Here is a 13245-nt window from a genome sequence, read left to right as displayed (position 1 = left end):
TAAGAACATCCAATTTGAGAGACACTGATGTGTGTAATACTGACCTTGCAGGGTTTCTTTGCTGGCTTAGTGGTCAAAGGGAAAACAATGTCAATAAATTCCCAGTTAACATCCTTGCCAATATTTGAACCGAGATCAACCTTTCTAGTCCAGCCTATTTTATTAACTAAAAATGGGGCCAACAGAGAGGAACACATAACTCAGATATGAAGAAGGACTGGGTCCTCTGGAGACTGGTTCATGATCCCCAGGGAGATTTTCCATTTTCACTAGTTCAAAGCTGTTTTTATTATTTTCTTAACTTCAGTTTCTCCCATGATGCACATAAAGTTAATTTGGGCTCTGCCAGACTCTTCACTGCTTTCCCATAATGGCTGATGAACGTTTTCCACTCTGTTTTATAGATGAGACAGCTTGCCAGTCAGCAGCTTTTGTCTCTAATCAGGGAGCTCAGTTCCAGGTCCTAACTTCTATTAGACTCATCTATAATCTTGCATGACTGTGAAAATATGGTCCCAGCTACCCACCCGTATTTCTAGATCTGATAGCCTCAGAAGCTGTTGGCTTCCGCTGCCACTGACCATTGTGGTTTTTGCCTAACTCTTCATTTCTGGCATCTAGAAATGTTTCCTTCTAGTTTTCATAGTTGCTTAAGTTCTTTTAAAAAATGTATCTAGTATTTTCCTGTATTTGGTCTGTGGGCTGATGCAAAGCCCTTCTGAATCAAACCAATCATTCATAGTAGCTAGGAATTTAATTATACTCTGTATTCTATGCCATCTTTTGTCTCTGCCCAAAACCACCTTTTTTTTTTGGTGGGGTGGGGGGTGGGTAGAATTTCCTTTTGGAGGTTTCTGTCTTCTAGCTTTAGGCTAGTAGGCTGGATGAGATGATTTCCAGACCTCCTGTAGGGCTGTCAGTCTGAGCCTTTGCTGTATGTCCTGGTAGGTGTAGCCAGTGCATCAGCGAACATGGTCACTGCCTTGTCCTCCTTGTCCTGACCACAAGGGCTTTTCAGTTCACTGACTCTGGTTTGTCTCTGTGCTTTTCCTTGGCTACATGAGGATATATCCAGTGCTCCCTTTGCATGCAGGGCATTTCCAGAGGCTGTTTAAGGTCTGCTGCCTAGATGCCCTCTCCCCTTCTTCTGCTTCCTCTCTATGATGGGCATGGGAGAAACACCGAGGTCTTGCAGGTTTCCTGGGCTACCCTTGGGAAAGAGCAGCACAGCTTCTGCTCTGGAGAACTATGCCCCCCTCCACTGACTTAACCAGAAGAGACAGAGCCTAGGTCCCCTCCCTGGAGATCCACAAGACCTAAACCCTCTTATTCCCATTCTTCTCCTCTATCTCCCAAGTTTGGGGAAATTTTCTTTAGTGTCTAGAGCAAGAGAAACTGACTCTTGGAGCATATAATATATTTTAAATCTTTTGCCTGCCTTGCCAGGTCCTTGGGTTTTTTTCACCTGAAAGCTAAGAATGAACTCTTTTGTTCTCTGTGTTATGCTGTGTCATCCTTTCCCTGAAGTGGGAAGATGGAATGCCCTGGCTGCCTGGGCTGAAGGAAGGTCACAGGGAACAATGAGGAAAAACCCTGTGAATATCTTGACATTCTGTTAATCACAAATGCTTGGGTTCTGTGTGTCATCCCCAGCTAGAACTCCACTACAATTTTTGGGAGGCGTTCTATTATTTTTTAGTACTTTATAATTAGTTGATGGATATATTTAGTAGGTTAACCTGAAATTAGCTAATTAAATCATTTGGCATATCTCCTCTATGATATCAAAACATCCCTCTTTAGCTTCTTAAATTCTAATCTGCTATTTATTCAACTCCACTCATTCATTCAGTATTTATCACCTACCTAGTGTCAGCTACTGTGGTTTTTACTGGAGGAAAGTATGAGACAAACAAATAATCCCTTCAGAGGAACTACTGACTCACATGTGGGGGAAAAATAATCCCTTCTCTCAAGATGCTTTTGTTGTGGTGGGAATGCAGACAAATCACCCCAAAATTCTAAAGAATGATAAGAGTTATAATAGTGAAATGCATAGAAAAGGGGGCAAAGGAGAGAAGGCCATTAGCTCTGGCTGGCAAAGAAAGAAAGATCTTCACAGAAGAGATGACTCTTGAGTTGGGTCTTGAAGAATGGGTCTTGAAATAGTGAAGGATGAGGAAATGCAAGTTGTGGGGCAGTGGGAAGAAAAGGCAGTTGGGGAGAGGAAGGAGCTGGTGAAGCCCCATAAAAACATGAACATGTACTAAGGGAACAGGGAGACTGTGTGGAAGTGAGAGTAGGGGAATGAGGAGCAAAAATAAAATAGGCAGAAAGAGTAGAGCGTTGCGCTTTAGGAAGTCTATCTCTCTCTCTCTCTCCCCCTCTCGATGGAATCTGGCTCTGTTTCCCAGGCTGGAGTACAGTGACGCTATCTTGGCTCACTGCAACCTCCGCCTCCTGGGTTTAAGTGATTCTCCTGCCTGGACCTCCTGAGTAGCTGGAACTACAGGCACCCGCCACCACGCCTGGCTACTTTTTTGTATTTTTAGTAGAGATGGGATTTCACCATGTTGGCCAGGCTGGTCTCTAACTACTGACTTCAAGTGATCTGCCTGCCTAGGCCTCCCAAAGTGCTGTAATTACAGATGTGGAGCCACCAACCCTGGCCCTCTTACTGTTTTCTAAATTTAAGTGATCAAATATATAACTGGGAACTTTTCATGCGCATGTAATTTTGTAAAGCTCTGCAAGTGATACAATGGTGGTAAGAAACTAATAGCTTACCATCTAGTTCATGTGTGTACTAAGTAAAATAGATGTATGAATGATTATAAAACAATTTGTATAAAACATATTAATGCTAGAGTATAACAATTTTATTTGCAGGATAAGAGAGATTAATAACACAGTAGAAAACAATCTACAATCTCAGTGGCTTAGTGGAACAAAAGTTTATTTCTTACTCCTGAGGAGTCTGCTGTAGGCCTGGGAGATTCTCCAGGACAGATGTCTGATGTGTGTTGGCTCAGCCTTTGGGGCTGCTTTGGTTACAAGGGGCTGCTTTGGTTACAAGGCGCCTCTACCTGGACATGTCTCCATGATGGCCACTGGAGAGAAGAGTGGGCAGGAGCCTCGACTACTGGCAATTAAATGCTTCTACCCAAGTCACTTCTGTTCACATTTCACTGTCAAAACAAGTCATATGATTGTGGCTAACTTCAAGGAGGGCAGGAAAGGACTATCTGCCCATGTGTGAGGATTCAGAGAGGATCAGACAGTAAAAATGCTCAGTAGCATTCAGTAAGATAAACCTAACAGGGCTGGGTGCAGTGGCTCATGCCTGTAATCCCAGCATTTTGGGAGGCTGAGCTGGGCGGACTGCCTGAGATCACCCCGTCTCTACTAAAAATACAAAAAAATTTGCCAAGCATGGTGGTGTGCACCTGTAATCCCAGCTACTTGGGAGGCTGAGGCAGGGGAATTGCTTGAACCACGGAGGTGGAGGTTTCAGTGAACCGAGATCGCACCACTGCACTCCAGCCTGGGCGACAGAACGAGACTCCGTCTCAGAAAACAAAAACAAAAACAAAAACAAAAACAAAAAAAATAACAATAGAAAGAATGAGGGGCATTCTCAAGCAGAAAGCAATCATACTTAGCATGTCATGTAATAAAAGACAATTCTGTTTTTCTGTCAATCAGTGAAAGGGTGTTCTTTGTTACTTCACTTTATTATGCCAGTAGTAACTGGCCTGCTGGAGCTATTAATTCAATCCTAGCTCCCAAGCTGGTTGATTTCGTAGAGTCTACAAGACTTCCATGCTTTCTCCATATCTTTGTTCCTTTCTTTTATGTCTCAGATATGTAGCCTAAGGAAATGGGATCTGTGTAACAGAGTTTCTGGGAAGGTTCTAGAAGGTCTCAGTCTACCTTCCAAGAACTTTTCATTGCTTCTTTGAAGACATGGGTCTTTTTGAACAAAGGTTTTTTAAGTGGTTCAACCAAATGACTTAACCTAATCAATTAGTAATGTCTCCATCTTGGAACTTAGATACCTATTAATAAGAGAGCCATCAGAGTGCAACCAGAAATTCAGCATAAGAACAATGGCAGTTGGTTATATTGATCTTAAATAAATAGAAGGGAAAAAGTGGTCCCAGGGCTTTATAAAAAGTGAGAACTCATTAAACTAAAAACCAAGAAACCCGAGTTTTCATTCTTCTTGTAAGCACTTAGGAGAAAGTCAGGAACTTCTGTGTCTTTCTTATTTATTTTGTCTTTACTTCTTACCCAATTCTTAATTATCATTCGGTATGAGTAAAAAGGGAGAATACTTGTCTACCTGTCTTAAAATTACAATGATCAAATTATTCCAAACTTTTTTTTAGTTCTTTGGAAATATGTATTACCACATATATATAAAAGAACAAGAAATCTCTACATTAGCTCTCAACTGGGGATATAACATAAATAAAACATAACTTTTCCATATTTTAAGAAGTTGGCTGCTTTAATAACTAGGAAGATTCAAGCTGTCGATATTATGTTTTAAAGTGAAATTTGGAACTGGAATTTATAATATTGTGATTGAAAACACGAGCGTTTTTTGAGATTATTAGGAAAGATAATTCAGAAATTAATGTGTAGGCTTTAGAAGGAACTGAAACCAAGCAAATACTGTTAAAAAAAAATCCCAGTTCTCCACTGCGAGTGGCCCCCTCTCTAGGGGGCAGCAGAGACGCCCGGGAGGAGACGGAGATCGCGGCGACTCAAGAGAGGCCAAGTGGGTCCGGGCAGTGCCCGCGCCAGGCTCTGAGCTGCAGCCCCAAGGGCGGGGGTCGAAGGAAGAGGCGAAGAGGCGGAGAGGCGGCTTCACGGATAAGCTTTTGCAGGCGACGCTCTCCGCCCGCCGGACGGGAGGCGGAGTAGCAGCCCGATTAAAGAAGCAGCCTGGAAGGAAGGAAGGAAGGAGCGAGGGAGGGACGGGAACGGCAGGAGGAGGAGCAGCGAGCTGGGCTGCAGCTGCGGCGGGAGGAGGAGCGGCCCCCGCGAGGCCACGTTTTGTTTTTGTTATTTTCCACTGGAGTAGTTGCCGGAGCCTTTCCTGAGGACTGACCGCGCCGCAGCCCTGCAGCCCCGACCTTCCAGGTGACAGCCGGTCACCCTGGTAGGAGTCAGCTCCGCCCCAAGTCACCCCCTCCCGCCCACAGCCCCATTCCCCGCCCAGCCACCCAGTGTCTGCCCCAGGCGAGCGCGGCGGCCGCAGCGGGGCTGCAGCGCTGGAGCCGGCGGCCGCGGGGACCCTCGGCGTGGTCCTCTGACCCTGCAAACCCGCGACGGAGGAAGGGGAGGTCCTGCCCGAGGCGCCAGCCCAAGGAGGAGGATGCCCATTTAACCCGCCCTCGCCTGCCGGGCGCTTGCCTCGGTGCCCGCCGCCGGAGCCTCCGAGCCGCGCCCGTGGAAGTGCTGCATGGGGCAGGGCTGCTGAAGCGCGGAGTTCGGGGTCGCGCCGCTCCCAGGCAGGCGCGGGAGCCCGGTGCGGCAGTTGGCACAGTTTCGGCGGCGCCTTCTGCGCGGGAGTGGGGGGCGCGGTGCGCCCGGCCGGCCTCCGCGGTGCCCTGGTGAGGCGAGAGTTATGGAGCCGCCCAGCTGCATTCAGGATGAGCCGTTCCCGCACCCCCTGGAGCCCGAGCCGGGCGTCTCAGCTCAGCCCGGCCCCGGGAAGCCAAGCGATAAGCGGTTCCGGCTGTGGTACGTTGGGGGGTCGTGCCTGGACCACAGGACCACGCTGCCTATGCTGCCCTGGCTCATGGCCGAGATCCGCAGGCGCAGCCAGAAGCCCGAGGCGGGCGGCTGCGGGGCGCCGGCGGCCCGAGAGGTGATCCTGGTGCTCAGCGCGCCCTTCCTGCGTTGCGTCCCCGCGCCGGGCGCTGGGGCCTCGGGGGGCACTAGTCCGTCGGCCACGCAGCCCAACCCGGCGGTATTCATCTTCGAGCACAAGGCGCAGCATATCTCGCGCTTCATCCACAACAGCCACGACCTCACCTACTTTGCCTACCTGATCAAGGCGCAGCCCGACGACCCCGAGTCGCAGATGGCCTGCCACGTTTTCCGCGCCACAGACCCCAGCCAGGCAAGACAGGGGCTCGGAGGCGCGGGGGCGGGCTCGGCCTTGGGGGATCGGGGAGCAGGGCGGGAGGGGCGGGGACCCCACTTTAAGGACCGACTGAGGTTTGGCTGCAGGCGCGCGCGCTCCACGTGGCGCGCTCAAGCGCCGGCTGGCCCCTTCCCTGGACCTTGGGAGTGGGAGAGAAGGCGTTCGGGGGCTGGGCGAGCGGCGGGAGCGGCCGGCCGGCTACAGCAGGGACCCGGAGGGAAAAGGACAACGGTCCCGGGATGGAGGGGGAGCTGGCGCGTCCAAGGAGCACGCGTGGAGGAGCGCCCGTCCCGGGAGGACGGCGGTGTCTGGGGTGTGACCGGAGATGGCTTGCTTGCCGTGTGTGTGTGTGTGTGTGTGTGTGTGTGCGTGCGTGTGCGCGCGAGCGCGTGTATGAACGCAGAAGGTTGGGTTCCTAGAGGTCCTCACTAGTTCTCAATCGCAGTCAAATCCTTAACCGGTTTGGCTGGTCGCGTCATCTTCGCAGCAGCACCTGCAGGTCTCCGGTCTGGGAGGCAATTTCCGAGCGGGGCTTAGGGAAAAGTTACTAGACATCGTCAGATTGTCTGCAAAGAAGGATTCTACATTTGGATATTGAATGGAAAGAAGCCCTTTTTTTGCGGTTTTTAAACACACTTATTGGAGGCAGTGTAGTAGAACAGGTTTCTAATATCATTTTTTAAATGTTTTTTTCACTTTTGTTTTTAATATTTTTTTTCCAGAGTCTTCTAAATCTAATTACCAAACAGTAAACTTTACTTCCTTAAAAACAGATATGGTCCTTATGGAACAGGGAGAGGAGAACTTGACTATGCAGTGATTGTGTCTTTGAAAACAGAGTTTTCCCCCTTTAATTTGTAATGAGTTTTCTCCCCGCCATATCAAAAGCTTCCAAAATGCTGTTTTAAAAATGGTTATTTACTGTTTGCACAGTACTTTAGGTTCTTTGGAAAAATAGTGTTGTCTAAATATAAATAAAGTCTCAGGTTGCACCATGTGGCTTTCTTTTGGTAACTGGGAAATTAATCGTAGTCAGATGAGAAAAACATCCTATAAATATGGCTTTAATTTTTTTTATTTCACAATTCTTCTGTCTGTAATTGAAAGACTTAGTTCAACAGTTTTCACAAAAGGCTTGTAGTTGAATTGAAGAAAATAATAGTTCATTGTCTTAGATTTCATCAGTTACTTTGAAAAATAGGTTTTTTTTTTTTGAGACGGAGTCTTGCTCTGTCGCCCAGGCTGGAGCGCAGTGGTGCGATCTCGGCTCACTGCAACCTCCACCTTCCGGGTTCAAGTGATTCTCGTGCCTCAGCCTCCCCAGTAGCTGGCATTACAGGCACCCAACAATCAGAACTCCTAATGTGAAGTTATGTTTATGGCATAACTGTTATGTTTATGGCAAAATATCGTACTAAAATTATTTCAAGATCCTAACCACGATTTAATGAATTTCATTTTGTGAACATTTGTTCAAAACTTATTTTTAGCTTTCACATATGTTAAAATTGGAAAGTTTCTGAAAGCTATTACATTTTATTGTATTACATTTTTCTGGTTCTGGTGGTAAAGAGGAGCCAGTTGCATTTTTCCAGGACTTTAAGGAACTTTTCATGACTCTCGGGGGTTTCTGTTAAAGTTATTTCCCCCCAGCGACATCTGATGCATGACACATTGTTGCTAATCTCATTGATGGTCCTGGCACCTTTAGTTCTCAACAGCTGCTGTTGAGTTCCTCTTGGTCTCATTGGTAGGAAGTCAATTATAAACATTCCTTTATTTTCCTCCATTATATATTTAAGCGTTAGAGGCTGAACTATATAAATATTAATATGTTTAGGCTCACTTCCCCCTTTTAGTCCAGTGGGAGCAGTGGTAGTCATATGACTTTCTCATAAAAGTTCAAGAAAACCTCTAACTTTCCTGTTTATTGCCTTTTCCCAGATGAGTGTTTGATCTAAAGATATGAATTACTATTTGCTCTTAACCAAGAGATTTCCTGGCAGAGGGTTATTAATTTGAAGGGCCAGATGTAGCGTCTCTAGAGAGCATCTCCAGCCATTAATCGGTGGTTACAAACTCAAATAACAAAGAAGAGGGTTGAGTGAGGACCATGGAGGACTGGATAGTGGGTGGCCTTTCTCAAGGTGCTACTTAGCTCCACTTGGAAATTGCATGAATAGGATGCAAGTCTAGCGTTGCTAGAGCTGCTGATTTCCCAAGAGAGAGTGGAAATCTGAATTTTTATATATGACCCCGCATTTTAAAGTACTGGCAAATATTGTAAACATTTAAGAATCCTATCTGGGCCAAACAATACACATCTGAGAGATGGCTTTAGAGATCCATGAGCGGCCACTTTTGATCTTTGGCATAAATATTTGTTGAGTGGACAAGCGCAGTCATTGACACTATGTGCTGTTTGCTGTATTTCCTTTAGAGCATCCAGGTTCATTTGATATGGCTGTCATAGTAGGGGAAGCTGGGACCATCCTTTTTGAAGAATTTAGCAGAAAAATTCCCAGAAGTGTTGATTCTGCAGCTAGACATGTTAAAGGGGTCAGTTCAACATATTATCATCCAGCAGTATGCTTCATGCAGAGTTGGCTGTGGATAGTTCTAGGGACCCTTGAAATCAGAAGGAAGACCTGCTGTTTGCTTTGTTCTGAGTTCTATATTTGAAGTGGAGAATTATTTATTTGGACTTAAGATCATTGTTAAGAGAGTCTCCTAAGTGTTTCCCTCAGTCCTCGACAGAGTCTATAAAGTCTACAAACGTAGCCTAGAGCAGTAGACCTGCAAACATCCCCTAACATACTTGTCTGTGGTTTGTCTGTCATGCCTATTCCTTTAATGCAATGGCCCTATCTGTTGGATGACCGTATACTTTATTGTTTGATATGGGACAATTTTATTGTCAAAAGGGGCACCACTAATAATTATACAAGCACTGTGAGTAATAAACCTGGACTGTTGAGGACAAACCGAGATATATGGTCACCATGGCAAAGTTTGTGTTCATGCAGAGCCACCGAGTTGGAGGATTGTGGTTACTAATATAAAATGATAATGTTTTCAAGAGTATCTACTCACATATTGGAGTTGGATCTACATTTGACCTTAGAGCTGGGAGTGCTGTACTAATCGCTTGGGGGTCTGTTGTGGGGAGTTGCCACAGTGATGTGTTCCCTCTTGGCTCCACACCTCCCTTTGGGTCAGAGTCAATTTAAGGATGTGTGTCAGGAGAAGCATTCAACCAGAATGGCTCAATGCACCACTGTTTCTCCAAGGTGCAAAGAGAAATGGAGATGGGGGTGAAATGTATGCCAATGCAGATCTGTCTCTAGTCAAGCCTATGTAGTCTTATACAGGAGGAATGTCAGGCTTAGCACATTTCAGCTAAACTTGAATATTTGAACTGGGAAAAGGGCTTAATCCCATTGGCATGAAGTGAATTACAGACTTAAACTGATTGGGGAAACAAGAATATCTGATTCTCTCCCAAAGGTCTAGGATAGGTCACTAATACTCTGTAAATATTTATCCACTTGCAAAAAGAGTCTGTATGGCATTACCCAAATTTTTCTGTTAAAAAGTTATTTTATGTTATACATACATTACTACAATAAAAAATAAAGCAGGAGTTGTTATTGAAAATATGAGACTTTGTTATGTTAATTTTTAATTAACATTTGCCTGTGAGTTTTGAAGCATCATTATGTTTTATAATTATAGGATGAACAATCATTTAAAAGGTAAAAACATGATTGTTATAATGTTTATTGGTTGTTTTTGTGTATTATTTACTGAAGCTTGCAAGAATGATTTTAAAGAGACTTTACAAATTGTGTTCTTAAGATTAAAAAAAGGAATTTAATGCCAGTGTTTTCCCAACTCTCAGTTCTCTTAAAAACGTGTATTACTATCTGAGCTTTATTCACGTAACCAGTTTTTTTGTCAATATATTTTTAGAAGGTCATTTTTCAGTTCTTTTTCAAAGTTGATGGTTAGTAGCTTTGAGAATATACTAGTAAGAATACCAGAGAAATTGAAACCTGGAAGATTTCACCTCTCTGTGCTTTCTAAGAAGTTTGTTCTGTGGACAGATAGATCTATCTCTTTTTTTGTAATCATTTTTTATTCTCTCTCCTCCTTGCAGTCTGAAGTGGAGGTTAATTTGCCTTGGCTCTGTGGTAGAATCTTGACTGCAATATCTGGCGGAAAGGCACAAACATAGCCCAGAGACTCCCAGCCACAATGGAGCACATTATGATAGGAGCCCTAAGCTGAAAATTGAAGGTGTTCAGTGTCAGGGCTTGATTATCAGAAACCAGAGATTCTCAAACTTCAGTGTGTGTGTCAGAATTACCTAGAGGGCTTCTTAAAAGAGACCACTGGACCCTACCCTCAATTTCTGATTTAACAAGTTCTCTGGTGATGCTCAAACTACTGGCCGGGTGACCACAGTTTTAGAAACCCTGTGCTAAGTTATTTGGTTCATTTGGTTGGCTGTATGACCATTTCTGTTCCCCTGGATATTTTTGTAGTCTTTCTCAGACTTGAAAGTTCAAGTGGAATGTGAGGAGAAATAATATTTGACTCTGGAATATTTTTAAGAAGCTCTTCATCTTCTAGCTTAATGATTTGCCTGTCCTTTCCCTGATATAGACATTATTCTGCCAGACATCATAAGACCATGCAAATGTTGAATGAAAACTTTGCCTTTCAGCCAAAAGTTTTAAGTTCTGCAGGTGGAATAAACAGTTCATTTTGAGGGGAATACAGATAACCTAAAAATCTGAAGTCCAAAGTGTTTTAACGTCAGAAACGTTTTGAGCATCAACATGACACTACAGGTGGAAAATTCTTCACCTGATTTCATGAGATCACAGTCAAAACACACAAAATTATTAAACATATTGTATAAAATTACCTTGAGGCTATGTGTATAAGGTGTATAGAAACACAAATGAAGTTTTTTTGTTGTTGTTGTTTATTTTTTTGAGGTGGAGTCTCGCACTGTCGCCCAGGCTGGAGTGCAGTGGCGCGATCTCGGCTCACTGCAACCTCCACCTCTCAGGTTCAAGTGATTCTCCTGCCTCAGCCACCCAAGTAGCTGGGATTATAGGAGTGCACCACCACGCCCAGCTAATTTTTGTATTTTTAGTAGAGACGGGGTTTCACCATATTGGCCAGGCTGGTCTCAAACTCCTGACCTCAAGTGATCTGCCCGCCTGGGCCTCCCAAAGTGCTGGGATTACAGGTATGAGCCTCTGCACCCAGCCAGAAACATAAATGAATTTTATACTTAGACTTGGGTCTCATCCTTAAGATATCTCATTATGTATATGCAAATATTCCAAAATCTGAAAAAAAAATTCAAAATCTGAAACACTTCTGTTCCCAAGTATGTTGGATAAGTGATACGCAACCCATATATCCTAATTTCAGATTATGATAGTTTTTGAAAAAATTAAAGCTTGATTTACAGCCTGAGAAATAACACCATTCAGTAAGGCAGAGACTGTTCACATGCCCTTTTCTCATTTTGGAATGAGTAATTGCTTGGTGAGGAAACTGATGATTTCCATGAATTTTCTAGATTATCTGGTATATTATTTACCTCATAAGTAAAAGAATCAAGTCAGAAAAATAGCAGCATGCTTAGTATACTGGCTATTAAGAAAATCATGCAAAAAGAAGTAGAGTTGGGCAATTTAGTGAATAAGATAATGGCCAGCCTAAATAATTACTGCAAACAATTTTATTTACTTAAAAAAACCTCAAGGCTTCTGTTTGTTTAAAAATATCTGGCTGGTAGTTTCAGAGTCCCCTTTCCTTTAGACTACATTGGCATGTCTGAACCAAGCCAACATGCAGTTACTTGGATGTAGCCCCTTGGAAAGTGAAGAACAGCTCAATTATGATTTAATGTAATAGTATATTCAGACTTATTTGACCAAGTAAAGGATTTTTCTTGACATATGGTCTGCATAAAATATGTATACAAATTGAATACCTCACTGGGATGTGCCAACTCTAAGGATGTCATTGGCTTGTTACTTTAAGGTTGGAATATGGTATGTAATATGGTATGTTGACATTGCACTGTCAAGTTTGTCTGAGTAGCTCCTTAATGCATTTCCTTAAAAGTGAACGTTTATTGAGCTCTTCCTGGGTGATAGCACTACTCTCACTGCTTCTCTTAGGAGATCACCCTTTAGCTTCACAGTAACTGGGTGAAGTACGTACCAGTATTTCCTTCATTTTATAGATGAGAAAACTGAGATATAGAAAGGTTAAATTATGGGCCGGGCGTGGTGGCTCATGCCTGTAATCCCAGCACTTTGGGAGGCTGAGGCAGGCGGGTCACCTGAGGTCAGGAGTTCGAGACCAGACTGGCCAACATGGTGAAACCCCATCTCTACTAAAAATACAAAAATTAGCCAGGTATGGTGGCATACGCCTGTAATCACAGCTACTTGGGAGGCTGAGGCAGGAGAATCGCTTGAACCTGGGAGATGGAGGTTGCAGTGAGCCTGGATCGTACCACTGCACTTTAGCTTGGGCGACAAAGTGAGATTAAAAAAAAAAAAAAAGGTTAAATTATTTCTCCAAGGTCACAAGACCTTGGTAGAAGCATATTTCTATCCAGGCAGATTCTAAAGCTTGTTTTCTTTTCTTTTTGAGACGGAGTCTGACTCTGTCGCCCAGGCTGGAGTGCAGTGGCGCAATCTCGGCTCACTGCAAGCTCCGCCTTCCGGGTTCACGCCATTCTCCTGCCTCAGCCTCCCGAATAGCTGGGACTACAGGCACCCGCCACCACGCCTGGCTAATTTTTTGTATTTTTGGTAGAGACGGGGTTTCACCGTGTTAGCCAGGATGGTCTCGATTTCCTGACCTCGTGATCCGCCCGCATAGGCCTCCCAAAGTGCTGGGATTACAGGCGTGAGCCACTGTGCCCGGCCAGTTTTCTTACCTGCTACACTAGAATGCAGTTATTGAAAATTAGTTTTTAGTTGTTGGTCTTATCAGCTTTTATACTATCACTTTTTCCTACTCATATTAAAAATCTCCACAGGTAA

The 13245-nt window shown here is 44.3% G+C and overlaps 1 protein-coding gene across 9 annotated transcripts in view, besides 3 other annotated features; it reads left to right on the top strand.

The window, feature by feature from the left end:
* Positions 4614-4703: an enhancer, noted in NCBI's record as "active region_7827". NCBI's record gives its function as "activates an Ori minimal core promoter by ATAC-STARR-seq in GM12878 lymphoblastoid cells {active_cell/tissue: GM12878}" and the evidence as "EXISTENCE:reporter gene assay evidence [ECO:0000049][PMID:35858748]".
* Positions 5184-5633: a silencer, noted in NCBI's record as "silent region_5402". NCBI's record gives its function as "represses an Ori minimal core promoter by ATAC-STARR-seq in GM12878 lymphoblastoid cells {active_cell/tissue: GM12878}" and the evidence as "EXISTENCE:reporter gene assay evidence [ECO:0000049][PMID:35858748]".
* TBC1D4 (TBC1 domain family member 4) overlaps positions 5237-13245 on the top strand; it is a 198667-nt gene continuing 190658 nt past the window's right edge. For 7 of the 9 annotated variants that reach the window (XM_047430811.1, XM_047430810.1, XM_011535331.3 and 4 more), the window contains exon 1: positions 5237-6136. In XM_047430811.1, coding sequence (XP_047286767.1) covers positions 5639-6136 — 498 coding nt within the window. In that variant the 5' untranslated portion in view covers positions 5237-5638. The remainder of the gene's footprint in view (positions 6137-13245) is intronic. The other 2 variants (NM_001286659.2, NM_001286658.2) reach the window with 1 other exon arrangement.
* Positions 6234-6603: a silencer, noted in NCBI's record as "silent region_5401". NCBI's record gives its function as "represses an Ori minimal core promoter by ATAC-STARR-seq in GM12878 lymphoblastoid cells {active_cell/tissue: GM12878}" and the evidence as "EXISTENCE:reporter gene assay evidence [ECO:0000049][PMID:35858748]".

Source organism: Homo sapiens, chromosome 13 (genome assembly GCF_000001405.40).
Source record: "Homo sapiens chromosome 13, GRCh38.p14 Primary Assembly".
Taxonomy (NCBI): domain Eukaryota; kingdom Metazoa; phylum Chordata; class Mammalia; order Primates; family Hominidae; genus Homo; species Homo sapiens.
Note: the sequence above shows the minus strand (reverse complement) of the source record. Positions and strands in the feature narration are given on the sequence as shown.